The sequence below is a fragment of the Homo sapiens genome, chromosome 22, assembly GCF_000001405.40.
Source record: "Homo sapiens chromosome 22, GRCh38.p14 Primary Assembly".
NCBI classification, from domain to species: domain Eukaryota; kingdom Metazoa; phylum Chordata; class Mammalia; order Primates; family Hominidae; genus Homo; species Homo sapiens.
In genome coordinates this window covers 23,169,819-23,197,768 of record NC_000022.11, presented here as the reverse complement: position 1 = coordinate 23,197,768, position 27,950 = coordinate 23,169,819, and the positions used below count along the sequence as shown (strand labels likewise).

Here is a 27,950-nt window from a genome sequence, read left to right as displayed (position 1 = left end):
ACACACTTTTGCCAAACTCACCTTCCCAAGGCAAAGCTCCAAAGGCATCCCCTCTCCAGCTTAACAACCTTCAGTGGCTCCCTATCATCCTCAAAGAAAGCACAACACCCTCAGCCTGGCTTCGGAGACCCACATAGGATGACCCCAACTCTCCTATCCCTCACCTTCCCTGTTGTCCACATTTTATACCAACTCTCCAACCAGAGCCTGCTACTTTCTGAGCATACAGTTGGCCCTCCACAGCCTCAAGTTCCACATCTGCAGATTCAAGCAACCTCAGAATGAAACTATTTGGAAAGAAATAACCAACAATAAGAATAATATAAATGTAATAACAATACACTGTAACAACTATTTACAAAGCATTTATATTTTATTAGATAAAGCCATACCTTGCTTAAAAGGGGATATGTTGAGAAATGCATCATTAGGCAATGTCATCTTCATGCAAACATCATAGAGTGTACCTACACAAACCTACACGACAGAGCCTACTACACACCTAGGCTACGTGGCACAGCCTATTGCTCCTAGGCTACAAACCTGTGCAGCATGTTACCGTACTGAATACCGTAAGCAATTGTGACACAGTGGTATCTGTTTCTAAACATACCAAATGTAGAAAAGGTACAGTAAAAACACAGTATTATAATCTTATGGGACCACCATCAATAACCAAAATGTCGTTATGTGGTGCATGACTGTATTATAAGTAATCTCAAGATGATTTAAAGTGTACAGGAAGATGTGTATAGGTTATATGCAAAAGCTAGCTATGGCATTTTACATAAGGACTTGAGCATCCAAGGATTCTGGGATCCCCAAGGGCAGGGGTCCCCAACCCCCGGGCCATGAACTGGTATCAGTCCGTGGCCTGTTAGGAACTGGGCCGCAGAGCTGGAGGTGAGCGGTAGGCGGAGAGTGACGCTTCATCTGTATTTACAGCTGCTCCTCATTGCTCCATTACTGCCTAAGCTCTACCTCCTGTCAGGCCGGCAGCAGTATTAGATTCTCATAGGAGCAGAAGCCCTATTGTGGCTTATGTATGCGAGGGATCTAGGCTGTGCAGGCTCCTCATGAGAATCTAATACCTGATGATCTGAGCTGTTAACAGTCCCATCCTGAAACCATCCCCTAACCCCCAGTCTGTGGAAAAATTTCTTCCATGAAACTGGTCACTGGTGTCAAAAAGGAGGCTGGGGACTGCTGCCCAAGGGAATCCTGGAACCAATTTCCTGCGGATATCGAGAGACGACTATACTGAATGCTTCAAGCCTCCGAGTTCTTGCCCACATTCCCTGCCTGGAATACCCTCCCCTCCACAACCTCGTCCCCTAAGAAACAGGACAGATGTAAGGTTTCCCTTCCCGCACAGCCCCTGGCACTGATCCATCCACAGAGTCTCGCCACCTGCCTTATGTTACCGTTACTTTAGGTGCCTGCTTGTCCCGGCTCCCACCCTGGCCTGCTGGCTCCTGGCACTTATTTAAGGACTGTGTCCGAGCCACCTTCTTATCTGCCTACACATCCAGAGGGACGCTGGCACTGAAAAAACCCCTCCTGAAGATCAGTGTTTTCCCATCAACTCTGCCACTTATAAAACACTAGAGGCTTAACACTACTAAACTGCACACTGAGAAGTGGTTGAGATGGTACATTTTAGAGTATGTGTATTTTACTACAATTTAAAAAAACACACATTAAAAATGAAGGAGAGAGAAGGGATCATGGTGACTGCAGAAAGTGGCTGACTGGCACTGTCCTGTCTTTCCATTTTTGTGGAGATTTGAAGATGGCAATGTTTTTTTATTTCTCTTTAAAATTTGTACCTGTTATTAAAAAAGCAGTGGTATTTATTTATTTATTTAATTTGTTTTTAATTTTGAGAGTTTCACTCTTGTTGCCCAGGCCAGAGTGCAATGGCACGATCTCGGTTCACTGCAACCTCCGCCTCCCGGGTTCAAGCCATTCTCCTACCTCAGCCTCCCGAGTAGCTGGGATTACAGGCGCCTGCCACAATGCCCAATTAATTTTTTGTATTTTTAGTAGAGATGGAGTGTCACCATGTTGGCCAGGCTGGTCTTGAACTCCTGACCTTAGGTGATCCACCCACCTCGGCCTCCCAAAGTGCTGGGATTACAGGCGCGAGCCACCGCGCCCGGCCGGTTTTTATTTTTTGAGACAGTCTCGCTCTGTCACCCAGGCTGGAGTGCAGTGGCAAGATCTTGGCTCACTGCAACCCCTGCCTCTCGGGTTCAAACAATTCTCCTGCCACAGCCTCCTTGAGTAGCTGGGATTACAGGCGTGCACCAACATGCCCAGCTGATATTTTTTTTTTTTTTTTTTTTGAGACGGAGTTTCGCTCTTGTAGCCCAGGCTCAAGTGCAATGGCGCGATCTTGGATGATTGCAACCTCTGCCTCCTGAGTTCAAGCGATTTTCCCGCCTCAGCCTCCCAAGTAGCTGGGATTACAGGCATGTGCCACCATGCCCAGCTAATTTTGTATTTTTAGTAGAGACGGGGTTTCTCCATGTTGGTCAGGCTGGTCTCAAACTCCCGACCTCAGGTGATCCGCCTGCCTCGGCCTCCCAAAGTGCTAGGATTACAGGCGTGAACCACTGCTCTCAGCCTGCTCAGCTCATTTTTGTATTTTTGGTAGAGACGACATTTCACCATGTTGGCCAGGCTGGTCTTGAACTCCTGACCTCAGATGTTCTGCCTGCCTCGGCCTCCCAAAGTGTTGGGATTACAGGCATGAGCCACCACTCCCGGCCAAAAAAAAGCAATGGTTTTTATGTGTATTTATTTATTTCCTTTTTAGAGATAGGGTCTTGCTTGCTCTGTCGCCCAGGCTGGATGGAGTGCAGTGGTGCAATCATAGTTTGCTCCAGCCCTGAATTCCTGGGCTCAAGCCATCCTATCGCCTCAGCCCCCAGAAGAGCTGAGATTACGGGCACATGCCACCATGCCCAGCTCACTTTTAAATTTTTTGTAGAGATGGGGTCTTGCTATGTTGCCCAGGCTGATCTCAAATTCCTGGGAATAAGAGATCCACCCGGCCGGGCACAGTGGCTCATGCCTGTAATCCCAGCACTTTGGGAGGCCGAGGTGGGTGGATCACGAGGTCAGGAGATCGAGACCATCCTGGCTAACACGGTGAAACCCCGTCTCTACTAAAAATACAAAAAAAATTAGCTGGGCGTTGTGGCAGGCGCCTGCAGTTCCAGCTACTCGGGAGGCTGAGGCAGGAGAATGGCGTGAACCTGGGAGGCGGAGTTTGCAGTGAGCCGAGATTGCTCCACTGCACTCCAGCCTGGGCGACAGAGCGAGACCCCATCTCAAAGAAAAAAGAAAGAAAAAAAAAAAGAAAAAAAAAATGGAGACCCACCCACCTCAGCCTCCCAAGATGCTGGAATTACAAGCATGAGCCACCACGCCCAGCCTGGCAACAGTTTTCACATCAAGACCATCTGAAAAGTAGGTTTCAGGTAACAATCCATGTCTCCAAAAACAAATGTGGACAATTTTTATCCATGTTCCTAAGGGAGAAAGTGGAAAGCTTTTGGAAGTCAAAATTCATAAATGAGTTCCATTTATCACTCTAAGATGTGGGCAAAAATAAACAGTGCTTCTGCACACCCCCACAGAGGGAACAGGCTACGCTGAGCTTCCACTTAACTAGGGTGATTCACAAAATCAGAGCAGGGCTTCCAACCAGTCAGACGGCGGCTCTGAGCCCAGCACAACCACCTCCGTGCCTCAGGGACAGAGAACTGGATGTGGGCATTGCCAGCCCACCCTTGGCACCCCTGGGCTCACGCCAATGCATCACTTCACAATACTGGGAAGGACTGTGGGACAAAGATGATCCTATCTACCCAGATAAGGTAGGAGTCAAATGACCCCTGCGGGTGACCTGAGCCCTCCACCTAAAACCTCCCAACACTCAGCTAAGAGGGTTCCTGTCACTCCTCCACAGGGACCCCTGTGAGAGAAGACATTCTGCAAAATGCAGCAGGCTACACAAAGTACCATCTGCCCAGCTCCCTCAAGCACAGGGCAACTCAGCCTCTCCCCAAAAGGGGAATTTGCAGATGGATCCAAACATGCAGTCCATTGCATAACCTTCAAAATGTAAGAACTCCACTCAGCCCAGGAGGATTATAGGAGGAGAATGAGGGCCCTGACACACCCCAGGGTCCCCCCGGAGCTCATACTGGTTATACAATGGCTGAGCCAAGTGAGTGAAATGTCCATACTAAATTATGCATTTCTTCTTAAGATTTTTTGCTAAGTGATGTTCAATCAACTGACATCAGATACATGAACAGGAGACTCTATGAGACCAGACAGGAGGCCAGATGGTCTGCACCCGCTACTCCCACGAAGCCCCCAAGGGGAAGGGTCACCCTCTCCAGCTGACAGAAGTCAAGGGAGAATTAAGTCCCTGTGCAAGACCACACAGTGGCAAGTGCCAGGTCTCTGGGCAAGTCCAGATCTTTTCCCTTCAAAGTCTGCACTGTCAACATATGTTGCCTGTAGGTTGCTTCGAATGCTCATCAATACCTCGTCATGTGCAGAAAATCTCTCCCTACTCTACGGGCATACAAACTGACCCCAGCAGCACTTTAAACACGGAAGCATGTCAGGCCTTTAAAGTGAAGTGAATCTTCAAAAACTCTTCTTGAGCCAACAGTGGCACTTGAGTAGAGGATCTCCCCGGGCTGCTCAATTCCTTGCTCTGCCTGGCTCTCTCTCTCTGTGGCTGCTGCACAAGGCTCCCCTCTCTTCTTCTGGGGTCCCCTTGGCTGTGTCCTGGCTTTGCCTGGAGATGGTTCCTTCCCAGTGCTCCCTGGTCACTCACCTGGCTCTCTGGGCCCTGCACCTGGCCCTGTGCACACACAGCCGGCTACCTCTGTGTATCTCCGCTACATCTTCCCAGCCAGACCTCGTCCCTCTGCCCCTCCCAGAACCTGCACAACAGACCACTGTCAGCAGCAGGTCAGCATTCACAGCCCTTGACTGTTGGTGGGAAAAGCAGATGGATGGGCAGCGCCCTTCCAACAGTTCTGTCTTCTTGGGCCCCTTGCCACACAACTTGCTGGAGAAGCCTTACCAAAGTGTCCCAGAAGGAGCTATCAAGAGTCAGGAAATCCCTATCTTGGAGATTTGCAAAATGAGAGGGGAAACATGTTCCTAGACAGCTGACACCTTCAAGACCCAGACTAAAGGCTGGGGTCAGTTGATTTCTATCATGGCACTTAGGTTAATGAGGCTGTCTTCCCACCAGACCAAAGCCGACCTGCTGGAAGGCCTGCCTGACTGTACTGAGCACCATCTGTGCCCAACACAGCAGGTGCCCAAAACCGGTTTGCTGAGCAAATGATCCAGGTCTCCTCCACCTCCGCAAAGTCATTCTGTGTCTGCTCTCATGTGATTAACACAACCACTCAGTCTGAGGAGAGAGGCAGCGCCAGCCCCTCCACCAACCACTTGACCTTGGGCAGGTTACTCCAGGCCAGAGTGTCTCATACCCCCTCAGACTCAATCAGTGGAGGGAGTATAATTATAATCCTGCTCCAGCCACTTTACAAGAAACTTTCGAGGGCCCATGAAGCAGCCTCCATGAAAGTCATATTTACTACTTCAGTGGGGTGTCCGGTCTTCACACCCCAGCCCCAGGAAGGTGGGTCTATGAATGTGCTGATTGCTCTGCCCATGGGCACCAGCCACCATCCACATCTATAGTCATTTTGCAAAGTCGTGGCAGTGAGAGCTAGAACCCAAGACAGCTAATTAGCAGGCCCCAGTCTGAGGATTCGGGAAGTTCTCTAAGGGTGAGCCAGGGAGTACCAATCACCAGCAAAGAAGGAAACAGAACCAGCGGGATAATCTCCAAAGCCAACGTTTCATCGCCGGGCCACCTGTATCACTAGGCCCCCAAAAACCCACCACCACTTATTAGACATGATTAAGCGGGGTTGGGCCAGAACAGGGGAAGGTCTGAGCAAATAAAAATCTCAGAGATGGTGTGTATCATTCCATCTTCAATCTGCAAACACCCACGGGGCCCGAGACACAGACCTCCATGGGCTCAGGTGCATCGTCACATCAAACACTGTTAAAGGGCCAGAGTGTGGCCCATCCTGCAGGACACTACAGCAGGGCATACTCTGTGCTTAAGGATCCCATCACCCTAAAAAGGAAGCCAGATAGACAAAGGATTAACAGGAAACAGCTGCAAATATACCGTTAAAGAAAGATACGCAGGGGAAAATGCTTTGACATTAGAAAGGTTTTGTTTGTTTGTTGTTGTTTTAAAGACAAGGCCCTTGGAGATCAGCCTTTCCATAAATCAATGAATAAGGAAGAAAGGATTTCCATGAAGATAGTGCCAGGCACAAAGTAGATGCTCAATAAATACCTTTGAGCGATTGGATAGGGAGAGGTGGTTGCCTTCGTTTTTAATAAGGGAGACATAAACCAAGATAAACAGAAAAGAGATGGAAAAAGTTGTGTTAATAATACATTCAGGCTGTGTGCAGTAACTCACATCTATAATTATTCCCAGCACTTCGGGAGGCCGAGGCGGGAAGGATCGTTTGAGGCCAGGAGTTTGAGACCAGCCTGGGCAACAAAGCAAGACCCTGTCTCAACAAAAATTAAAAATTAGCCAGGCATGGTGGCACGCGCCTGTAGTACCAGGTATTCAGGAGGCTGAGGAGAGAGGATCGCTTGAGCCCGAGAGTTTGTGGCTACAGTGAGCTATGATCATGCCACTATACTCCAGCCTGGGCAACAGAGCGAGACCCTTTATCTATTAAAAAAAAAGGTAATAAATTTTAAATTTAAAGAAAAAAATTAAAGAAGCTAACGAAAGAACCTTAGCAATGACCTGTTCCCACCCCTACTTTTTGGATGTGGAGAGAGATGGCAGCACACGAAGTTTTAGCACGCAGCCCTCCTGATGCCTGGCTCAGTGTCCTCTAGGCCCCTCTAGGCTGCCTAAAACCACATGACGCTTGGCTCACACTCCTCCTAACACGTCTGAGGGAGCCGGCACAAACACCATCTCCCTCTGCCTGGCAGCCCTTTCCTCTGCTGCCCAGTAACGGACTCACCAAGTGTTACGAACTAAACCATGCCTCACTCCCCATATGTTGACGTTCTAACTCCCAGTACCTCAGAATGTGACTGTATTTGGAAATAAGGCCTTTCAAGAACTGATTAAGTTAAAGCAGGGGTCTTTACTGCCCACCTTAATCCAGTCTTACTGGTGTCCTTTTAAGAAGGGAAATTTGGGCCGGGTGCAGTGGCTCATGCCTATAATCCCAGCACTTTTGGAGGCCGAGGAGGGCGGATCACCTAAGGTCAGAAGTTCGAGACCAGGCTGGCTAACATGGTGAAACCCCGTCTCTACTAAAAATACAAAAATTACCCAGGTGTGTTGGCAGGCACCTGTAATCCCAGCTACTCGGAAGGCTGAGGCGGGAGAATTGCCTGAACCTGGGAGGTGGAGGTTGCAGTGAGCTGAGACTGTGCCATTGCACTCCAGTCTGGGTGACAAGAGTGAAACTCCGTCTCAAAAACAAAAAAAGAAGGGAAATTTGGACACAGAGAGATGCCAGGGGAGTTCATGCACAGAGAAAAAGACCATGTGCAGAGGCAGCAAGACCATGGCACCTGCAAGCCAATGAGAGCCCTCCAGGGAACCAACCCTGCTGGCACCTTGATCTTGGACTTTTGGCATCCAGAAGTGTGAGAAAATATATTTCTGTTATTTAAGCCACCCAGTCTTGGTATCTTGTTATGGGACAGCCTTGGCAAACTAATACTCTGGGCCACTTCAAAGCTAAGGGCGTGAAGGCCCAGGGAAGATCGCCATTGCTAACGGGTGTTTTCCGGAAGAGAACACCCTTGTGACGGATCAGAGCTGGGAGTTAACTCAGTCTTAAGACTGAGAGGGCTAGGCTAGGAGCGGTGGCTCATGCCTATAATCCCAGCACTTTGGGAGGCCGAGGCGGGTGGATCACGGGGTCAAACGATTGAGACCAGCCTGGCCAACATGGTGAAACCCCATCTCTACTAAAAATACAAAAAATTAGCCGGGTGTGATGGCAGGCGCCTGTAATCCCAGCTACTTGGGTGGCTGAGGCAGGAGAATTACTTGAACCTGGGAGGGAGAGGTTGCAGTGAGCCGAGATCGTGCCATTGCACTCCAGCCTGGGCAAAATAAGAGCGAAACTCCGTCTCAAGAAAAGAAAGAAAGAAAAAAAAGAAAAGACTGAGAGTGTCGCCCTGGGGAACTTCAAAGCCCTGCTTGAGTGAAATCAGCCAGACACAGGACAAATATTATAAGACTCCACTTACACGAGGCATCTAGGAGAGGCAAAATCATGGAGACAGAGTAGAACGGTGGCTTCCGGGAGCTGGGGATGAGGGGGAATGGGGAGTTAAAGTCTGATGGATATGAAGTTTCAGTTTGGGAAGATGAAAAAGTTCTAGAAATTGACAAGTGGTGATGGTTGCAAAACAAGGTGATGTACTTAATGCCACTGAACTGTACACTTAAAAATGGAGAAAATGGTGCATCTTATAATATAAATTTTAGCCGGGCGCAGTGGCTCAGGCCTGTAATCCCAACATTTTGGGAGGCTGAGGGGGGCAGATCACCTGAGGTCAGGAGTTCAAGACCAGCCTGGCCAACATGGTGAAACCCTGTCTCTACTAAAAATACAAAAATTAGCTAGGCTAATTAGCTGTAATCCCAGCTACTCGGGAGGCTGTGGCAGAAGAATCGCTTGAACCTGGGTGGCGGGGGTTGTAGTGAGCCTAGATCGTGCCACTGCACTCCAGCCTAGGTGACAGAGTGAGACCCCGTCTTGAAAAAATAAAAAATATAACATGAATTTTACAATAATAAAAATAACAAACTTCTAACATGTTACATGGATATTGTATTTTAATTAAAATAACTACACTTTTCAAAAGGGGAAAAAAAAAACCTACTTGAGCCACAACAGTTGTATTCCAGTCAGGGTCAAGATATTCCCTGGGGTTCATAGTTAATTTAATCCACCACCACCCCGAGTCTTGACCCAAAAAGCAGCAGCCTCAGCCAAAACTCAGACCTACTCTTTGGTAACCTGAGAAAGCTTCCAAGATGCCCATTCATTCACTCTAAACAGGGGACCCTCTCAAACCACAGGGGTGAGCTGCAGCCTGGGCCTCATGCACTGCTGTGTCCTCTCCCAAGTGTGCTCAAGCACATAGCTCACCTGGGCTCTTTGTCCTGGTGAGGTTAGCAGTCACAAACACAAGCCCTCCCAGCCACAGGACTTCCAACCAAGGAAGGAAGGAGGCTATAAAGCTAGAAGCAACAAACTAAGCAAAAGGGAGTCATGGATAAGGCATGCTCCCCTGAACCCAGTCAAATCAACAGCACTCCCAGCTCCTTCTTCAGTGAAATGTTTCAGAATGCTCCATTCTGTTCCCAAAACAAGTCAGCCTTCCTGAACCAGAGAACGCTTGTAAAATTTGATCTAGACTCTGCTTCTGTGCTGCTGATGCCTTTAGCGGCCTCAGACTCCACCCAGATCTGCCCACTCTGTCTCCATCCATGGAAAGGAGCCTGTACTCAACTGAGAGGTGGCCACGAGGCTCTGGCCTTAAGAGATGACGATGGAGCCAACTCCAGGCCCAGGTGACCTTTCTCTGCCCCACAGTTACTCACTCAAACTGGTTGCCAGTCCAGCCCATCACCCAAGGGAAAAACAATGCAGTGGTCACTCTGGCGCCAACTCATCACCGGAATTCAAAGGGCAAATTAAGCTGCTTAATAAAAATGTGAAAACACAGGGCAGCCACTCACATGAAGTCCATGAAGAAACACAAGATCTGTCCCGTCTCACAACTGACACCTGGAAGAAAGTTGACAGGCACATTGGGCTGGGTGTTTGAATCAAGAATTCCTCAGACCTCCCAGCATAAACAAATAATAAATGTGTTTGAGGTGATGAATATGCTAATCACTTCAATCTGATCATTATGCATTGCAGATATGTATCAAAATATCACACCCTCTAAATAGGTACAATTATTATGTCTCAATGGGGGAAAAAAAGAAAAAGGAGGAGGCTGGGTGTGGTGGCTCACGCCTGTAATTCCAGCACTTTGGGAGGCTGAGGTGGGTAGATTGCTTAAGCCCAGGAGTTCGAGGCCAGCCTGGGCAACATAGGGAGATCCAATCTCTATTAAAAAAAAAAAAAAGAGAGAGAGAGAGAAAGAGAAGGAGAAACGTCTGCTGTCCCAACTGATATCGAGCCAGCTGCAACACAAATAAGACAGCCCCTCCTCCCCAATGTCAATCAGCCTGCAATCACAGAATGTGTGGGTGAGGCTAACTAGACCGTCCTATTTCAGCCCAGTGGGCCCACAACAGGAAAACTGCCTAGCCAACCAGAGAACTGTGAAAAAAAAAAAAAAAAAAAGTATTTTAAGCCACTTAAAAAAAAAAGATCCTCAGAAAGTAAACTACAGGGATGAAATGAGAAAAAGACCGAGTAATTGATAAGTCACTTTCCAATGATCAGTAAAAGTCCCCAGTCCTGACCCCATGGGCTATGAAAAGGAGGAAGGGCTCTTCCAGTATGTGCTATGTGTAAAGCTCAGAACCAGGCTCCCTGGGACACCCAGAAATGAACCAGTTATTCCTGCCTTCAAAAAGCACAGTTGGCCCAGAGCAGTGGCTCATGCCTATAATCCCAGCACTCTGGGAGGCCAAGACGGGTGGATCACTTGAGGTCAGGAGTTCCAGACCAGCCTGGCCAACATGGCGAAACCCCGTCTCTACTGAAAATACAAAAATTAGCTGGGTGTGGTGGTGCACACCTGTAATCCCAGCTACTCGGGAGGCTGAAGCAGGAGAATCCTGAACTCCTGAAGCAGGAGACTCTTGAAGCTTGAACTGGGGAGGCAGAGGCTGCAGTAAGCAGAGATCACGCCACTGCACTCCAGCCTAGAGTGAAACTCCATTAAAAAAAAAATCCACACAATTTCTGCCATCACATGGATGAACATTGGTAACATTACACTCAGTGAAATAAGCCAATCACAAAAAGACGAATGCCACAGGACTGGACTTACATGAGGTATCTATAATAGCTGAATTCAGAGACACAGATGGAGAATGGCAGTGCCAGGGGCTGGGGGCAGGGAATGGGGAGTTATTATTCACTGGGTACAGAGCTTCAGTCGGGAAGATGAAAAAGTTCAAGATGGACAGTAGTGATGGTCGTACAACAATGTGAATGTAGTCAACACCACAGAACTGTATGGATAAAAATGGTTAAAATGTTCCCCTGCTTCACTTGACTGGCCTTACCCAAAGAAACAATTTAAAAGGGTTAAGACAGTAACTTTTGTTATGTGCATTTTACCAAACTTTTTAAAAGTTACAAAAATGGTAAATTTTAAGTTAAGCATATTTTACCATTTAAAGAAAAGCACACAGCCTAGAATCACAAGGCAGACGTGGGTGGCCCCAGGCCTTTGCTGCCATTTTTCCTTAGGGCAAACGGCTACTCTCTGCCCTCCAACTTCTGGTGACTGATCAAGTCCTCTTCAGTCCTGCCATTTCCGGAAGCTTCTCTGATCTCACTTCCCTTGAGCACATACATGTGTGCCTCTCCCTCTCTTCCGGTAACTTGTAAGTTCCCAGATCGCAAGAACCACACTATCCGCCTTGCGCGGGTGGCTCACGCCTGTAATCCCAGCACTTTCGGAGGCTGAGGCGGGCGGAACCCGAGGTCAGAAGATCGAGGCCATACTGGCTAACACAGTGAAACCCCGTCTCTACTAAAAATACAAAAAAATTAGCTGGGTGTGGTGGTGGGCGCCTGTGGTCCCAGCTACCCAGGAGGCTGAGGCAGGAGAATGGTGTGAAGCCGAGAGGCGGAGCTTGCAGTGAGCCGAGATCGCTGGGCTGCACTCCAGCCTGGGCGACAGAGCGAGGCTCCGCCTCAAAAAAACAACAACAACAAAAAAAACAGAGAGAACCACACTCTCCTTCTGTGAGTTCCGCATAGTTTTTTGTTTGTTTTTTGAGACTGTGTCTCGCTCTGTCGCCCAGGCTGGAGTGCAGCCCAGCGATCTCGGCTCACTGCAAGCTCCGCCTCCCCTAGTTCACGCCATTCTCCTGCCTCAGCCTCCCGAGTAGCTGGGACTACAGGCGCCGGCCACCACACCCGGCTAATTTTTTGTATTTTTAGTAGAGACGGGGTTTCACCGTGTTAGCCAGGATGGTCTCCATCTCCTGCCCTTGTGATCCACCCGCCTTGGACTCCCTAAGTGCTGGGATTACAGGCTTGAGCCACCGCGCCCGGCCGGGTTCTGCATAGTTTTACAGCAGGGCTCACAGCCGTCTATCATTACCCCCACAGGCGGGCCCAGGGTGCAAAGACTGGAAGGACGCCCTGAACCTCCCCAGTTGTGCTTTGCAGGTAGCAGTGTGGGGTAGTGGGAAGAACACCGCAGGGCCACCACGTGCCAAACGGAACAGCTCTGCATTCACACAGAGACCCAGAATCCCAGCCTTGCCGCTTCCCAGTTGTGTCTTTACCTGTAAATGGGCAGCCCCACCCCAGGGCGACAGATGAGCCCATGAGGGGCCCTATGGGAAGCACTTTGTCACCGTGCCCAGGGATGGCTTCAGCCCCCTCCCTTGAGGGGCCCTCAACTTGGAAATGGGACGGTCCATTCATCCAAACAGACTGATTCCGAGGTTATTAGATCTGGGTCACCACATCTGCCACTGCGGAGCATTAGGGTGACTTCCTCCCCCCACCCACCCCCATGAGTGATTTTCCTCATTGTTCCTTTTCAGACCAGCAGGCTCCACAGCCCTCTAAAGAACATCAGTAAACAGGCAGAGACAGATGGCTGAGCCAGTGAGGATTCCTCTTTCCATGCCTGCCATACATGGACCCACGTCAGGGGAAACTGCTAGGCAGAGTGTCAAGGTGCCCAGGGCTAAAAGAAGCAGGAGTTTTAAAACATAACAGGATCCAAACTCATAGACTGTACAACACCAAGAGTGAACCCAAATGTAAACTCTGGACTTTGGGTAATAATGAGGCACCAATGCAGGTAGGTTCATGGACTGTAACAAACATGCCCCTCTGGTGGGAGATGTTAACTGGGGAGGCTGTGGGGGTGTAGGGGTAGGGAGTATGTGGGAAATTGCTATATTTCCCGATCAATTTTGCTGTGAACCTAATAGCTCTAAAAAAATTAAGTCTTAAAAAAGAAAAACTGTCTGAGGGAAAATAATCCCTTTTAAAAATGTTTAAGTGACCTTAGTTACTAAAAACGTCTAAGAGGCCTGGTGAGGTGTCTCATCCCTGTAACCCCAGCTACTCAGGAGGCTGAAGCTAGAGGAATGCTTGAGCCCAGGAGTTTGATACCAGCCTGGGCAACACAGCAAGACCCTGTATTTACAAAAAAAAAAAATTAAAAATTAGCCCAGTATAGTGGTTTGAGCCTGCAGTCCCAGCTGCTGAAAAGGCTGTGGTGGATCACCTGAGCCCAAGAGTTTTGAGGTTGCAGTGAGCTATGATCATACTACTGCATTCCAACCTGGATGGCAGAGCCAGACGCTGTCTCTTAAAAACAAAAAACAAACAAAACATTTAAGGGGGAAAAAATAAAACCTAATGGGAAAGAGACTGTGGGACCTTGAGGACATTCGGAGAAGAATCCAGCAAGTCCTAAAAGTGGGTCCAAGTGGTAAAATTACCTCCTCAGCCATTTCCTGAGGACCTGCCCTGTCTGACTCAAGGCACTGGGCTTTCCATCCCTCTATAATAATTCCTATATTCATTTACTGACTTGCATTCGGCGTCTAGTGATGTGGCCAACATGGCCAAGTCTACAGGAGCTGTAGGAAAGGCTGGGCCCAAGGTTCTGGAAACCCAGAATTCTCCACCAGCAAAGACTATCAATTTCAATTTGCACATCTCCCTAAAAACCTCTCATTTTCTTCTTTATTAATAACTCTCCTGCACCATGGCACTGAGGGCCAGTTCAAGCTGGCTCGCCTGACCAACAGCTGGCCAGACAAGGCTGGTGCCCAGTAACCACAAGGCAATCCTCCAGACCCCGAACGAGCTGATGTGCCTGCAAAGCAGGCTTCTGAATAGTACAGCCTTCCACCCCGCCCCCACATAGGGACTTAGGGAATGCAGCCCGGCCAGACGGCAGGTCGGAGCCGTGCACCACAGGAAACCCCAGCTGCAAATGGAAGATCAGTAACTGGAAGTACCTAACACAAACAGGACAGAGTGCCCACCACAAAAAGGCAGCAGCTCTAAGAGCCAAAAATAGCCTCACTCGTTTGAAGAGGATTTTGACAAACCAAGCACATTCAACTCCTCCATCAGCAGAAAAAGAAAAATCAATGAAGCAGAAAACCAGATGAGCTTAACAGGGACCAGGACTCCAAAAGATTCCCGACAGCCTCACACACACACCCCAGCCCACCCTTTCCTTACCCCAATGGCAAACTGTGTCTGGATCTCAAAACATAGTCCCATGACCCAAAATGCCTGATGGTATTTGCATCTAGCACAGAAGTTAGGCGTACAATCCCATAGTTTTAATCTTAGTGCTAGAATCTGACCACAGATTGGGAGCCCCAAATAAGCACCTGTGGGTGCTTATCCTTGGCAAGATGAGGCAGCAGGAGCACACTGGAGGGTCAGCAAATGGGGCTGGGTTACCACCATGGAGGAGCCTGGTGGTGAATAATCATGGGTGAAGCCTCCCATCAAAGCCAGGCAGATCAGAACGGGTGTGGCTCTGCTTCACCCCCAGATAAAATCTCCATGCAGTTGATTTTCGGTGGCCCACTGAGTCACAACTGCCTGTCGCCTCACTTCCTTCTAATTCCTATTCTCACCTGCTGTGACTTGTGTTCAGGACTGCTGGTTAGCAAGCAAACCTGACACTTCTATGGCCTAGGAGCAGCTAGCATATCTCAGGTTTCACAAACGTGTCATATAACCCCTCCAGAACAGGATCAGTGGGGTGGCGGGGAATGCCCAAGACATAAATCAGTCCCTGCTAACAGCATCCGATGTGGGCGCTAGAGATGACTCCGGCTTTTATGCCATCCTCACTGCCCGGCATGGAGAGAGCACATAGCAAGGAGGTTACTGCCTGAAGCATCTTCCTTCAACTCACAAGCTGTACTTCACAAACACATTGCTCTAGAACCAAAGGAACAAACCACCTCCCATCCCTCACAAGACCATCCTCAACCCAATTCCATTCCAAACACTAACAGTATGCATTCAGGAAGGAGGAGGGGATGGAGTTTGTTCGGGTGCAGGATCCGCGTGAACCACAAGTGCACCTGATACACTCAAAACTATCCACTCCTCCCTCCCAACTTCTGTTTTGTATCCCCTACTCGTCTATGGTTTTCCTCCCCCGTGCAGGTGTGCCCACGCACGTGGCGTGAGGAACTCACCTGCGTCTCCATGGAAGGCGCCCTCGCCATCGTTGGGCCAGATCTGCCCGGTCTTGCGGACGCCCACGATGGTGGCCTCGGACACGACAACCGGGCAGTGCCGGTGCCGCTTATGGCACTGCGGCGTGGGGGGACTGCTGCTGTCGAAGGACTGTTGCGAGTTCTGCGAGGGAGAGCGGCTTTTGTCCCGGAACATGCGGTAGGTGGTGGGGCTTGGGGACACGCGGCTGGACTGGCCAGAGGAGAAGTCCTCCTCGCTGGAGGTGAGGTTCTCATTGGAGCTGCAGTCCGGGGTATAGCCGCCTCCGCAATCCTCAAAACTCCGGGGGGAGTAGGACCTGCGGGGCCAGGTAAGGCGCTTCTCCTGCTCAGAGGTGCTCTGGCTGCGCAGGAGCGGGCCCTTGCCCTCCCCTTCCATCATGCCCCCGACGTAGATGCTCTGGTAGGGCTGGTACTCCAGGGGCGGCCAAGGGGGCCTGCTACCGCCATTGGCGTCGATCAGGTTGTCCTTCAGGAAGCGGGGGTTCAACTCGGCGTCCTCGTAGTCGCCGTCGACGCCGCAGCTGCTCTCCGAGGAGCGTCCCCGGTAAGGGGGCCTGGATGCATCCCCCACGCTCGAGCCCGCGCCGTGCTGGGACTTTTTGCGCTCCATCTGCATGGCCTGGCTGCCCAGGGAGCTGATGCGGTCCGACACCTCTTTGTCGTTGACCTTCACCAGGCCGCGCTCGTGGTGAAACTCGACGTTCACGTAGAAGGGCTTCTCGGCGTCCGCCCCGGGCTGGCCATGGCCCTTGCGGATCCGCTCGAAGTTGGACCTGAGCGCCGCCACGCTGGCGGGGGGTCCCCGGTCGTCCCGTTCCCCCGACGCGGCTGCCCCGGGCCTGCGGGCGGTCCCGGGCCTGGCCTTACCCGGAGAACCCTCGCCGTCGGGCCGGGCCTCGGGCTCCTCGGCGGGCGGCGGGTCGGCTCCGTCGGCGGGCGCTGGCTGCGGGCGCGACGCGGACGCTCGGGGCTCGGAGGCGCCGTCGGGGGCCTGCGCCGCGCGCCGGAAGCCCCATCGCTGCCGGTCATAGCTCTTCTTTTCCTTGGCCAGCAACGTCTGCAGGTAGATCATGCGGAAGCGCTCCTGGTTCACCTCCTGCTCCAGGCGCCGAATGGAGGCCTTGCAGCGCTCCAGCTCCTGCTCGATGTCGCCCACTGAGCGCAGCTCCATGCGCGGGGGCTCTGAGTCCGGGAACTGCGCCTTCCACGCCTCCGCGAAGCCCACCGGGTCCACCATGGCGCGGCCGGCCTTACCTGCGCCGCCGGGCTGCGCGCGGGGCCCGTCTCAGCGGCGGCGCGGCGCCTCGCCAGCCCGGCCCCGGGCGCCGGGCGGCCCCCATGGCCCGCGCGGCGGCGGCGGCGGCGAACAATGCCCGCCCACTCCCTGGTGGCAGGTGAGGCGGAGCGGGGCGCTCGGCGCGCGGGGCGGGGCGCGCCGGGGGGAAGGGCGCGGGCTGCGCGCGCCGCTATTGTGTGCGGGGCTCCTCCGCACGGCGAGGCGCGGGCGCTGCTCTCCGCTCCGCCAGGCCGCCGCCAGACTCTGGCCACGGCCCGCGCGCTCCTCGCCTCTCGCTTCCGCACCGCCCCACAGCCCCGCCGCCGCCGTGCCGCCGCCGCCGCCGCCGCCTCCTCGGACGCTAAGCTCAGCCAGCCGGCTCTCGCCGCACTCCCGCCCGGCCCGCACTCTGCGCCGCAGGAAGGGGAGGGCCGGGGGGAGGTGGCCGCGGCGCGGATGACGGAGCCAGGCGGGCCTCTTAAAGGGGCCGCGCCGTGGGCACAGGGCGGGGGGGCCCCCTGGAGGCGGCTCCCCCATCGAGCCGCCACCCTCCCCCCGTCCCTGTGCCTTTTGGGAAACTGAGGCCCTAACAACAGCGAATTGGACTGTGCAACTCGCAGCCCAGGGGTCCCCCGTAAAAAAGACACCGGACTCCCTGGTCCATAAAGACCTTTCCAATACAGAGGTCTGGGCCAGTTCTGCAGTCCTGGAACAGGAACACTTGGCTCCCCTCCGGCCAGGAGGACTTCTCCGGCCAGTCCAGCCGCGTGTCCCCAAGCCCCACCACCTACCTCATGTTCCGGGACAAGAGCTGCTCTCTCTGGCAGAACTCGCAGCAGTCCTCCGACAGAAGCAACCTCCCCCCTCTGCCCCTACCACGCCGCAGTGCCATAAGCGTCACCGGCACTGCCCAGTCGTCGTGTCAGAGGCCACCATCGTGGGCATCTGCAAGACCAGGCAGATCTGGCCCAACGATGCGGAGGGCACCTTCCATGGAGACGCAGGTAAGTTCCTCACACCTCACAGCCTGGCCTCTCACCAGCCTCAGGGCTGGGCACACTAGGGACCACCCAGCAGGGCCCAACTCACAGAGAGGCCAGGACCAGGCAGGTCACCCCGCAAGGCAGGGAGGGCCAGGCTGAGTAACCAATGCCAGCACCCTTGTTTCAGCGGGCCTCTCACGTTGTGGATCTGCTGTGGGTGGCTGCCACACGGGTTTGTCACAGCAGGACCACATGATGGATGATAAATAGGGATTTCTCCCTCAGGTCACTCAATACCCACACCTGCCTTCCTGTGTGCTGAGCCATGTGTTTGTCCCCTGGCCTCTCTTGAGCTCCAGAGGTCAATGTAGTTTTTCCAGGACGACCTGACTCAGAACTTCCCTGATTAGCCTCCCTCTAAGGGGGCGGCCAACCTGCACTGAGGTTCACAGGGCTGGGTGGAAGACAGCCCAGAGCAGGGAGTGAAACAAAACCTTTGATGGTTCTCTGGGGACACAGAGATCTGAGACACAGTGGAGAGCACTCTGCAGGGACTCTGATGGGCACAAACTGAAAATACCCAAACCAGCCCGCTGGGTTGGGGGAAAAGGAAACAGGATTTGGCAAATGAATTACTGGGCTTGAGTCCTGACCACCTCTCCCTCTCTGCCTCAGTTTCCTTGAAGTGAGAAGCACATCTGCCTCCAAGTGCTGTTGTCCCTGTGTGGATGTTAGGGATTATCATGCCCTCCTCCCAATGCCAGCGTCATCTGGAGCAGATACTTTGAAGTCCAATCTAAAGGACTGAGCCCAGGCTAGTAGCCAGGCCAGCCCTGCTTGGGTTCAGGGCTTCCTGCCGACTCCTGGCTGTGTGACCTCAGCAGTGTCTCTCTCAGCCTCTCTGAGCCTCAGTTTTGTCATCTGTTCTTCATGTGCCCAATCCTGCTTCCTTTTCCCCTGACCCGGCAGGCTGGTTTGGGTATTTTAATTTTGTGCTCATCAGACTCCCTGCTCTTTGCCCTGTCTCAGATTTCCAGGCTTCCCTAGAGAACCATCAAAGATTTTGTTTCACTCCCTGCTCTGAGCTGTCCTGTCTTCCACCCAGTCCTGTGGGCCACGGTACAAAATGTTGAGAGCATCCTGCATAAAATGCCCAGATGGGGCAAACATAAAACACAACCTGATAAATGGTGTGTAGGGGTCGATTTCGTGATTGCCTGTTAATATTAGTGCCCCTGGAGAACATTCCTGCCCTGGAAAACCCATGGGCCCCAGTTTCTAGGCTGGGTGGGCGGTGCGCAGCTCACTGCTGCCCTCTGCAGGCCTTGCTAACCTCCTGCCATCCTGGTCCCTTGGACCCAGCGGACCTTCTCATCCCCTTCCCATCAGGCTGCAAATAGCCCATTTTGCATGTGAGGAAACTGAGATGCAAATGATGCCCTGGCCACTAAAGGGGCTGGAATCCCAGTAGTGCCATACTGAGCAGTGCTCTCATCCTCAGTGGCCTATTTTTTTTTTTTTTTGAGACGGAGTCTCACACTGTTGCCCAGGCTGGAGTGCAGTGGAGTGATCTCTGCTCACCGCAACCTCTGCCTCCTGGGTTCAAGTGATTCTGCTGCCTCAGCCTCCCAAGTAGCTGGAATTACAGGCGCCTGCCATCACGCCCAGCTAGTTTTTTGTATTTTTAGTAGAGACGGGGTTTCACTGTGTTGGCCAGGCTGGTCTTGAACTCCTGACCTCGTGATCTGCCCGCCTTGGCCTCCTGTAGTGCTGGAATTACAGGTGTGAGCCACTGCACCCAGCCCTCAATGGCCTCTTCTTTAAAATGGGTATGATAAAGGCAGGCACAGTGGCCCATGCCTGTAATCCTGGTGTTTTGGGAGGCCGAGGCAGGAGTATCGCTTGAGCCCAGGAGTTCAAGACCAGCCTGGGCAACATAGTGAGACTCCATCTCTACAAAAAAATTTAAAAATTAGCCTGGCATGGTGCCTCGTGCCTGTAGTTCTACCTGCTCAGGAGGCTGGGGTGGGAGGATTGCACTGAGCCTGGGAATTTGAGGCTTCAGTGAGCTAGGATCACGCCACTGCACTCCAGCCTGGGTAACAGAGCAAGACCCTGTCTCTAAGTAAACTCTGAAGCTGTTTAGTTTGAGTTTGCATGCTCTGTTCTCTTGGCATAGCAAATGGCTTTTTGTTAGGCACAAGGACACGTCCAGATAGTGGCTTTCTCCCTTGTGGGACAGCCTCTTCTGGCCCCAAGGACACTGTTCTCTCCTCAGGACTTCCCTGAAAGCACCCCTATCCTGAGCCTCTGGGCCTTTCCTGTAGAGTTTTCTTATCATCCATCCCTCCCTAGGGAGGAATGCAGCAGGGCATGGGCATGGGCATGGGGTTTAGACACACATAACACTCTGTAATCCCCCACTCAGTGTCTGTTCCAACTAGATCTAAACTCTGCAAGGTCACAGACCTGTTTGTCTTGTTCCCCTATGTCTCTCATATAGTGAGCTCAGAGTAAGTGCTCAACCAGGTCTGGTGGAATGAGGAACCAGATGTGTGCATGGCCTGGAGGGCAGATAGGTCACCGAGAGCGATGCCTGTGTATGGGGGAGGAAGTGATAAGGCATTCACAGCCCGGCTATAGCAAAGGTGTGTGTGTCCTGTGGGAGAAGGCACAGTTCGGGGAAAGGCTTGCCAGGGGAGGTGATGCCTGAGCTGGTCCTAAGGACAAGGACCAGGTAGGCAAAGGACAAGGAGGCTTCAAAGTTCTGTTTGAGGAGCAGCCAGGTTGGGAGATGAGGCTGGTGTAGGCAGTAGGAAGTGGGATCAGAGGTGAGGCAGGGCCTTGTAGGCCTGCACAAAGTTTGGGTTTTATTCTAAATGCAAGGAAAAGCTGCTCAAAGGTTCTAGACCTGCACTGTCCGATAGAACTTGCCAGTACCATGGGCATGTTCTGTAATCTGTGCTGCACAATGTGGCAGCCACGAGCTGCCCCGTGTGATTACTGAGCATCTGAAACGTGGCTGGGGCAGCTGAAGAACTGAATGTTTGGTTTCGTGTTAGTGAGTTTCAATGGCCACCGTGGCTGCTGTACTCAACCGCACAGGAAGCGGGGTGACTTGCTGGGGTCTGTTGCATGGAAGGTTGGGCGTGGGAGGTGGGAGTAGGGGGAGTGGTTGGGGATTGTGGCAATTGTTTATGAGGAAGGCATTGGTGACCCAGAATAGGGCAGAAGCAAGGTACCCCAGAGAAGGGGTTAGAATTCAGGAGCATTCTGGAAGTAAAACTCATGGGACTTGTAGATGGAGTGGGTGTGGGGAATGAGGGATGTTGGGGTGATCAGACCCAACACCAGGCCGTGGGGGCGACAAAGTCTGGCGGAGTCAAAGGAGTGAGAAAAGGCAAGAGAGAAAGTGGGACCAGGGGGCCAACGCTAGTATAGAGGCTGCAAAGGCCTCTAGCCCTAGGAGCCTATGCTATTTATTGGTGATCAAACAAAGAAACAGGTGGTGAGGATGTGGGGATTGAAAGGAAGCGGTGTATCAAGCAAATGAGCTACAGCTGTGACAGTTTAGCATTTTCTTTGAAACATATGGCTACTTGAGATAATGAGAGTGCTAGAAGGAAGGAGCCAGCAAGTCTAGCAGACATGCAAGCCCTGCCTCAGCTTCTCTCCCCACACCCAGCTTTTCCCCAACAGAGGGAGGCCAGCTCATGGGGATGACTTTGGGATGGTGACTGCAACAGGCAAGCAGAGGTGCCTGCACAGGGCTTCAGGTCCGCATAGCCCATCCATGAGCAGGCATCAGGCAGAGGGTGACCCTGTTGCACCAAGGAGCAATGAAGACCTCAGAGAGAAAGTGGAGTGTTGCCAGTGAATCGATGTTGTTTGTTGCCACGGGGCTGGAGACTCTCCCCCTGCCTGCGTGAGGCTGGGTGGAGAAGGGACAGTTACTGGACTAGGGGGGAAGTAGAGGCAGAGGGACTGAGAAGGGACTGGCCAGGGAGATGATGGGGACCCTGGAGTCTGAGCGGAGAAGACTCAGTGAAGAAGGCAGAGCCTCATGCTGATAGCTGCTGTTCCCTCAGTGGGAAGGATGCTAGCTGAGTCTGGCATCATGAGGCCGGCAGGGCAGAGGTGGGCCCTGGAACTTGGCTGCAGAAGCTGGAGGCTGGATGGGCCCTGAGCGCTACCCCAGGAGCCTTCTGAGGGGTTCAGCAGGAGGAGGGGGCTTCACCAAGGGCTCCACAGCTGTCTATGAGCAGTGGGTGACATTTATTTTCTAAATCATCATGCTTTTCTAAATTCTTCATAATAAAACGCCTATCTATGGCTCACGCCTGTAATCCCAGCACTTTGGGAGGCTAGGCGGGCGGGTCACTTGAGGTCAGGAGTTTAAGATCAGACTGGCCAATATGGTGAAACCCTGTCTCTACCAAAAATATAAAAATTAGCTGGGCATGGTGACTCCAGAGGCGGAGGCTGGAGAATTGCTTGGATCCAGTAGGCGGAGGTTGCAGTGAGGGGAGATTACGCCACTGCACTCCAGCCTGGGTGATGGAGTGAGACTCTGTCTCAAGAAAAAACAAACAAACAAGCCAACCCACCTATCTTTTGTAATTTAAAAAAAAATAGATTTTTTGCCAAGTGCCGTGGCTGACGCCTGTAATCCCAGCACTTTGGGAGGCCGAGGCGGGCAGATCATGAGGTCAGGATATCGAGACCATTCTGGCTAACACGGTGAAACCCCGACTCTACTAAAAATACAAAAACAAATTAGCCGGGTGTGGTGGTGGGCGTCTGTAGTCCCAGCTACTCGGAGGCTGAGGCAGGAGAATGGCGTGAACCCAGGAGGCGGAGCTTGTAGTGAGCCAAGATTGCGTCACTGCACTCCAGCCTGGGTGACAGAGCGAGACTCTGTCTGAAAAAAAAAAAAAATTTTTTTTTTACAATCTTTTTTTCTTTTTTTTTGAGACGGAGTTTTGCTCTTGTTGCCCAGGCTGCAGTGCAATGGCGTGATCTCAGCTCACCACAACCTCCGCTTCCCGGTTCAAGCAATTCTCCTGCCTCAGCCTCCCGAGTAGCTGGGATTACAGGCATGCACCACCATTCCTGGCTAATTTTGTATTTTTAGTAGAAACGGGGTTTCTCCATGTTGGTCAGGCTGGTTGCGAACTCCCAACCTCAGGGGATCCACCTGCCTCAGCCTCCCAAAGTACTGGGATTACAGGCGTGAGCCACCACACTCAGCTTTTTTTTTTTTTACAACTTTATTGAAGTATAATTGAAGTGTCATAAACTGCGCATAAGGAGTGCGATTTGATGAGTGTTGACATCTGTGTATACTTTGAAGCCATCGCCACAATTAGATAACAAGTATTTCCAGCATCCCCAATCCATATTATGTTTTTAAATCTCGAAACTAAAATATAACAGAGAAGTGGGGTTTTTGGTGATGTTCCCCCTCAATTTCCCTTGTTCTCTGAGTGTGGTTACATGATTCTATTATTTATTTATTTACTTATATATTTTTTGAGATGGGGGTCTCGCTCTGTGACCCATGCTGGAGTGCATTATTGCAATCCTAGCTCACTGCAGCCTTAGACGCCTGGGCTTAAGTGATCCTCCTAACTCAGCTCCCCGAAGTGCTGGGATTACAGGCGTGAGCCACAGTGCCCAGCCTAGAAGTAATTTTAAAATCAAAACACACACACACACCGTCACACACCCTCAGCAGCAGCCCAAGTGGTTCCTAGGCCCCAAGCAAAAGTTCCAGCAAACCCCTCCCGGAGGCCACCCTTTCCCTTTACTGGAAGAACAGGCTGGGACCCAACCGCCCCCTCTGCTGGAGACAATGCAGAACTTCTCATGCCTCAAAGCCCTGGGGATGGAAAGCATGCAGGTGTCAGTCAACAGATGAAAGAATAGAGGCTGGGCACAGTGGCTCACACCTGTAATCCCAGCACTTTGGGAGGCCGAGGAGGGTGGATCATTTGAGGTCAGGAGTTCAAGACCAGCCTGACCAACATGGCGAAACCCTGTCTCTACTAAAAATATGAAAAAGTTAGCCTGGTGTGGTGGCGCATGCCTGTAGTCCCAGCTACTCAGGAGGCTGAGGCAAGAGAATCGCTGGAACCCAGGAGATGGACGTTTGCAGTGAGCCAAGATCGTGCTGCTGCACTCCAGCCTAGGTGACAGAGCGAGACTCCGTCTCAAAATAAATAAATAGTAAATAATAACGGAGAAGAAGTTTGAGACCAGCCTGGGCACCATAGTGAGACCCCATCTCTAAAAAAAAAAAACAAAAAACAAAAAACCAAAAATAAAAAAATTACCTGAGCATTGTGGCATGTGTCTGTAGTCCCAGCTACTCTGGAGGCTGAGGTGGAAGGATTGCTTGAGCCAGGGAGGTTGAAGTTTTAGTGAGCTATGATCATACCCCTGCACTCCAGCCTGGGCGACAGAGTGAGACCCTGTCTCAAATTAAATAAATAAATGAAAAGAAGGCCAGGCACAGTGGCTGATGCCTGTAATCTCAGAACTTTGGGAGGCCGAGGCGGGCGGCTCACGAGGTCAGGAGATCGAGATCATCCTGGCTAACATGTTGAAACCCCATCTCTGCTAAAAATACAAAAAATTAGCTGGGCATGGTGGCAGGCACCTGTAGTCCCAGCTATTTGGGAGGCTGAGGCAGGAGAATGGCGTGAACCTGGAAGGCGGAGCTTGCAGTGAGCGGAGATCGCGCCACTGCACTCCAGCCTGGGTGACAGAGCGAGACTCCGTCTCAAAGAAAAAAAAGAAAAAAAGAAAGAAAGAAACTGTGGTACATCCAGACAATGGAATATTAATCAGCACTAAAAAGAAAGGAGCTGACAAGCCATGGAAAAACATGGAGGAAACTTAAATGCCTATTACCATATGAAAAGACACTATTCTGAAAAGGCTACATACTGTATGATTCCAAATATATGACATTCTTTTTTTTTTTTTAGATGCAGTCTCGTTCTGTACCCCAGGCTGGAGTGCAGTGGGGCGATCTCGGCTCACTGCAAGTTCCGCCTCCTGGGTTCATGCCATTCTCCTGCCTCAGCCTCCCGAGTAGCTGGGACTACAGGCGCCTGCCACCACACCCGGCTAATTTTTTGTATTTTTAGTAGAGATGGGGTTTCACCGTGTTAGCCAGGATGGTCTCGATCTCCTGACCTCACAATCCACCCTGCCTCGGCCTCCCAAAGTGCTGGGATTAAAGGTGTGAGCCACCGTGCCCAGTCTTTTTTTTTTTTTTTGAGACGGATTCTTGCTCCGCCTCCTGGGTTCATACCATTTCCTGCCTCAGCCTCCCAAGTAGCTGGGACTACAGGCACCCACTACCGCGCCTGGCTAATTTTTTGTATTTTTTTAGTAGAGATGGGGTTTCACCATGGTCTTGATCTCCTGACCTCGTGATCTGCCCGCCTCGGCCTCCCAAAGTGCTGGGATTACAGGCTGAGCCACTGCACCTGGCCTTTTTTTTTTTTTTTTTTGAGACAGAATCTCGCTCTGTCACCCAGGCTGGAGTACAATGGTGTGATCTTGGCTCACAGCAACCTCCACCTCCCGGATTCAAGCAGTTCTCCCACCTCAGCCTCCCAAGTAGCTGGGACTATACGCGCACCATCACTATAGGCAGAGATTGTAGTGAGCCATGATAGTGCCACTGCACTCCAGAGGGGCAACAGAACCAGACGCTGTCTGAAAAAGAAAAAAATGAAATGAAATATTGTACTGATAAATGCTACAACATGGATGAGCCTTGAAAACATTATGCTAAGTGAAAGAAGCAGTCACAAAAAGCCACATATTGTATGATTCCATTTGTATGTCTTATTCTTACAGAATCAGTTTATGATGGCAATTGTTTTAACAGATGGATATAAAATGCATTAAGGAAGGGTGCTTTTTAACAATTTTTGTTTCTTCTTCCTGGTAACCAGGTGCTTGAGGACTGGCCTGTTAGATAGGAAGCTGACTACAGATATGTGCCACCGATCCTGGCTTCCACTTTTTCACTGTTGTCAATAACATTGCTTGTTTTTTTTTTTTTGTTTTTTTTTTTTGAGACAGAGTTTTGCTCTTGTTGCCCAGGCTGGAGTGCAATGGCAAGATCTCAGCTCACCGCAATCTCTACCTCCCAGTTTCAAGCGATTCTCTTGCCTCAGCCTCCCGAGTAGCTGAGATTACAGGCACGTGCCACCACGCCTGGCTAATTTTGTATTTTTAGTAGAGACGGGGTTTCACCATGTTGATCAGGCTGGTCTCAAACTCCTGACCTCAGGTGATCCACCCCCACTGCCTCTCAAGGTGCTGGGATTACAGGTGTGAGCCACCGCGCTCAGCATGAATAATATTACTTGAATGTGTATGTACATGTATACAATGGACTGAATGTTTGTGTCCCCCAAAATTTGTATGTTGAAATTCTAGCTGGGCATTGTGGTACACACTTGTAGTTCCAGCTACTCCAGAGGCTGAGGTGGGAGGGTTGCTTGAATCTAGGAGTTCTGGGCTTTAGTGCACTATGCCTGTCAGGTGTCTGCACTAAGTTCAGCATCAGTATGATGACTTCCTGGGTCATCAACATGATGACCATCAGGTTTCCTAAGGAGGAGTGAACCTGCCCAGGTAGAAAGTGTAGGCCAGGCTCAGTGGCTCACGCCTGTAATCCCAGCACTTTGGGAGGCCACAGTGGGTGGATCATGAGGTCAGGAGATTGAGACCATCCTGGCCAACATGGTGAAACCTTGTCTCTACTAAAAATACAAAAATTGGCTGGGCGTGGTGGTGCACGCCTGTAGTCCCAGCTACTCAGGAGGCTGAGGCAGGAGGATCGCTTGAACCCGGGAGGCAGAGGCCGCAGTGAGCCAAGATTGCACTACTGCACTCCAGCCTGGGGACAGAGTGAGACTCCACCTTGAAAAAAAAAGAAGAAAAAAGAAAGTGCAACAGGCTAAAACTTCTGTGCCAATCAGTAGTGGGATTGTGCCTGTGAATAGCCACAGCACGCCAGCCTGGGGAACATAGTCAGACCCCATCTCTAAGTGGGAAATATGTAGGTATATATATATATATATATATGAAATTCTAACCCTCAATGTGCCTCGGAGGTAGTTAAGTCCTGGGTGGAGTCCTCGTGAATGGGATTAGTGGCCTTATTTATTTATTTATTTTGAGGTGGAGTCTCGCTCTGTCACCAGGCTGGAGTGCAGTGGCATGATCTCAGCTCACTGCAACCTCCGCCTCCTGGGTTCAAGCAATTCTTCTGCCTCAGCTTCCCGAGTAGCTGGGACTACAGGTGCTCACCACCACGCCCGGCTAATTTGTTTTTTTTTCACCATGTTGCCCAAGCTTCTCTCAAACTCCTGAGCTCAGGCAGTCTGTCCGCCTCGGCCTGCCAAAGTGCTAGGATTACAGGTGTGAGCCACTGTGCCTGGCTGGGATTAGTGGCCTTTTAAAGGAACCCTGAAGAGCGCTCTCAAATTCTTTTTGCTATGTGAGGATACAGTGAGAATTCTACAGTTTGTGACCTAGAAAAGGGCCCTTGCCAGAATCCAACCGTGTTGGCACCCTGATCTGGAACTTCCAGCCTCCGGGACTGTGAGAAATAAATTTCTGTTGTTCTAAAAACCACCTAGACTATGGCAGGCTCCCACTAAGGCAATGTACTTGTTTGAGTCTGCTTTCAGTTCTTTGGAGGATATACCTAGGAACGGTATATTTCTGGGCCATGTCATGTGACAATTCTATGTTTTACTTTTTGGGGAACTGCACAGGTGGCTTTTTCTTTTTTTGCTTTTTTTTTTTTTTTTAAAGGGTCTTGTTCAGTTGCTTAGGAGGGAGTGCAGTGGCACAATCTCAGCTCTCTGCAGTCTCAAGCTTCTGGGCCCAAGCGATCCTTCCACCTCAGCCTCACAAGTAGCTGGGACTACAGGCACACACCACCATGCCCAGCTAATTTTTATAGTTTTTGTAGAGACAGTTTTGCCATGTTGCCCTGTTCTCGAATTCCTGAGCTCAAGCGATCCGCCCACCTCCACCTCCCAAAGTGCCAGAATTACAGGTGTGCACCACCGCACCCAGCCAA

At 51.2% G+C, this 27,950-nt stretch overlaps 2 protein-coding genes and 1 pseudogene across 3 annotated transcripts in view, besides 13 other annotated features; 2 read left to right on the top strand and 1 right to left on the bottom strand.

Annotated features, from left to right (window-relative positions):
* BCR (BCR activator of RhoGEF and GTPase) overlaps positions 1-17,260 on the bottom strand; it is a 137,529-nt gene extending 120,269 nt beyond the window's left edge. For both annotated transcript variants that reach the window (NM_004327.4, NM_021574.3), the window contains exon 1: positions 15,530-17,260. In NM_004327.4, the coding sequence (NP_004318.3) occupies positions 15,530-16,808 (1,279 nt within the window). In that variant the 5' untranslated portion in view covers positions 16,809-17,260. The remainder of the gene's footprint in view (positions 1-15,529) is intronic.
* Positions 2,725-3,225: an enhancer, noted in NCBI's record as "H3K4me1 hESC enhancer chr22:23536731-23537231 (GRCh37/hg19 assembly coordinates)". NCBI's record gives its function as "activates a minimal SCP1, AML or CMV promoter by ChIP-STARR-seq in naive H9 embryonic stem cells {active_cell/tissue: H9 hESC(naive)}" and the evidence as "EXISTENCE:reporter gene assay evidence [ECO:0000049][PMID:30033119]".
* Positions 4,430-4,929: an enhancer, noted in NCBI's record as "H3K4me1 hESC enhancer chr22:23535027-23535526 (GRCh37/hg19 assembly coordinates)". NCBI's record gives its function as "activates a minimal SCP1, AML or CMV promoter by ChIP-STARR-seq in primed H9 embryonic stem cells {active_cell/tissue: H9 hESC(primed)}" and the evidence as "EXISTENCE:reporter gene assay evidence [ECO:0000049][PMID:30033119]".
* Positions 4,930-5,431: an enhancer, noted in NCBI's record as "H3K4me1 hESC enhancer chr22:23534525-23535026 (GRCh37/hg19 assembly coordinates)". NCBI's record gives its function as "activates a minimal SCP1, AML or CMV promoter by ChIP-STARR-seq in primed H9 embryonic stem cells {active_cell/tissue: H9 hESC(primed)}" and the evidence as "EXISTENCE:reporter gene assay evidence [ECO:0000049][PMID:30033119]".
* Positions 12,478-12,984: an enhancer, noted in NCBI's record as "H3K4me1 hESC enhancer chr22:23526972-23527478 (GRCh37/hg19 assembly coordinates)". NCBI's record gives its function as "activates a minimal SCP1, AML or CMV promoter by ChIP-STARR-seq in naive H9 embryonic stem cells {active_cell/tissue: H9 hESC(naive)}" and the evidence as "EXISTENCE:reporter gene assay evidence [ECO:0000049][PMID:30033119]".
* Positions 16,730-16,809: a silencer, noted in NCBI's record as "silent region_13536". NCBI's record gives its function as "represses an Ori minimal core promoter by ATAC-STARR-seq in GM12878 lymphoblastoid cells {active_cell/tissue: GM12878}" and the evidence as "EXISTENCE:reporter gene assay evidence [ECO:0000049][PMID:35858748]".
* Positions 16,830-17,099: a silencer, noted in NCBI's record as "silent region_13535". NCBI's record gives its function as "represses an Ori minimal core promoter by ATAC-STARR-seq in GM12878 lymphoblastoid cells {active_cell/tissue: GM12878}" and the evidence as "EXISTENCE:reporter gene assay evidence [ECO:0000049][PMID:35858748]".
* RSPH14 (radial spoke head 14 homolog) overlaps positions 17,040-27,950 on the top strand; it is a 121,315-nt gene continuing 110,404 nt past the window's right edge. Inside the window, exon 1 of the mRNA XM_017028774.2 lies at positions 17,040-17,851. The gene's annotated coding sequence lies outside the window, so the exon portion shown is untranslated. The remainder of the gene's footprint in view (positions 17,852-27,950) is intronic.
* Positions 17,170-17,409: a silencer, noted in NCBI's record as "silent region_13534". NCBI's record gives its function as "represses an Ori minimal core promoter by ATAC-STARR-seq in GM12878 lymphoblastoid cells {active_cell/tissue: GM12878}" and the evidence as "EXISTENCE:reporter gene assay evidence [ECO:0000049][PMID:35858748]".
* Positions 17,530-18,340: an enhancer, noted in NCBI's record as "H3K27ac-H3K4me1 hESC enhancer chr22:23521616-23522426 (GRCh37/hg19 assembly coordinates)". NCBI's record gives its function as "activates a minimal SCP1, AML or CMV promoter by ChIP-STARR-seq in naive H9 embryonic stem cells {active_cell/tissue: H9 hESC(naive)}" and the evidence as "EXISTENCE:reporter gene assay evidence [ECO:0000049][PMID:30033119]".
* Positions 17,597-17,846, top strand: BCRP8 (BCR pseudogene 8; annotated as a pseudogene).
* Positions 19,059-19,295: an enhancer blocking element, noted in NCBI's record as "candidate insulator 22-1; strong CTCF association in K562 cells". NCBI's record gives its function as "blocks activity of the beta-globin HS2 enhancer when located between the enhancer and the Agamma-globin gene promoter in a lentiviral reporter assay in K562 erythroleukemia cells {active_cell/tissue: K562}" and the evidence as "EXISTENCE:reporter gene assay evidence [ECO:0000049][PMID:24098520]".
* Positions 20,814-20,913: a silencer, noted in NCBI's record as "silent region_13533". NCBI's record gives its function as "represses an Ori minimal core promoter by ATAC-STARR-seq in GM12878 lymphoblastoid cells {active_cell/tissue: GM12878}" and the evidence as "EXISTENCE:reporter gene assay evidence [ECO:0000049][PMID:35858748]".
* Positions 21,301-21,400: an enhancer, noted in NCBI's record as "active region_18749". NCBI's record gives its function as "activates an Ori minimal core promoter by ATAC-STARR-seq in GM12878 lymphoblastoid cells {active_cell/tissue: GM12878}" and the evidence as "EXISTENCE:reporter gene assay evidence [ECO:0000049][PMID:35858748]".
* Positions 23,493-23,787: an enhancer, noted in NCBI's record as "tiled region #7478; K562 Activating DNase unmatched - State 25:Art". NCBI's record gives its function as "activates a minimal TATA promoter and a strong SV40 promoter by Sharpr-MPRA in K562 cells {active_cell/tissue: K562}" and the evidence as "EXISTENCE:reporter gene assay evidence [ECO:0000049][PMID:27701403]".
* Positions 23,773-23,822: an enhancer, noted in NCBI's record as "active region_18748". NCBI's record gives its function as "activates an Ori minimal core promoter by ATAC-STARR-seq in GM12878 lymphoblastoid cells {active_cell/tissue: GM12878}" and the evidence as "EXISTENCE:reporter gene assay evidence [ECO:0000049][PMID:35858748]".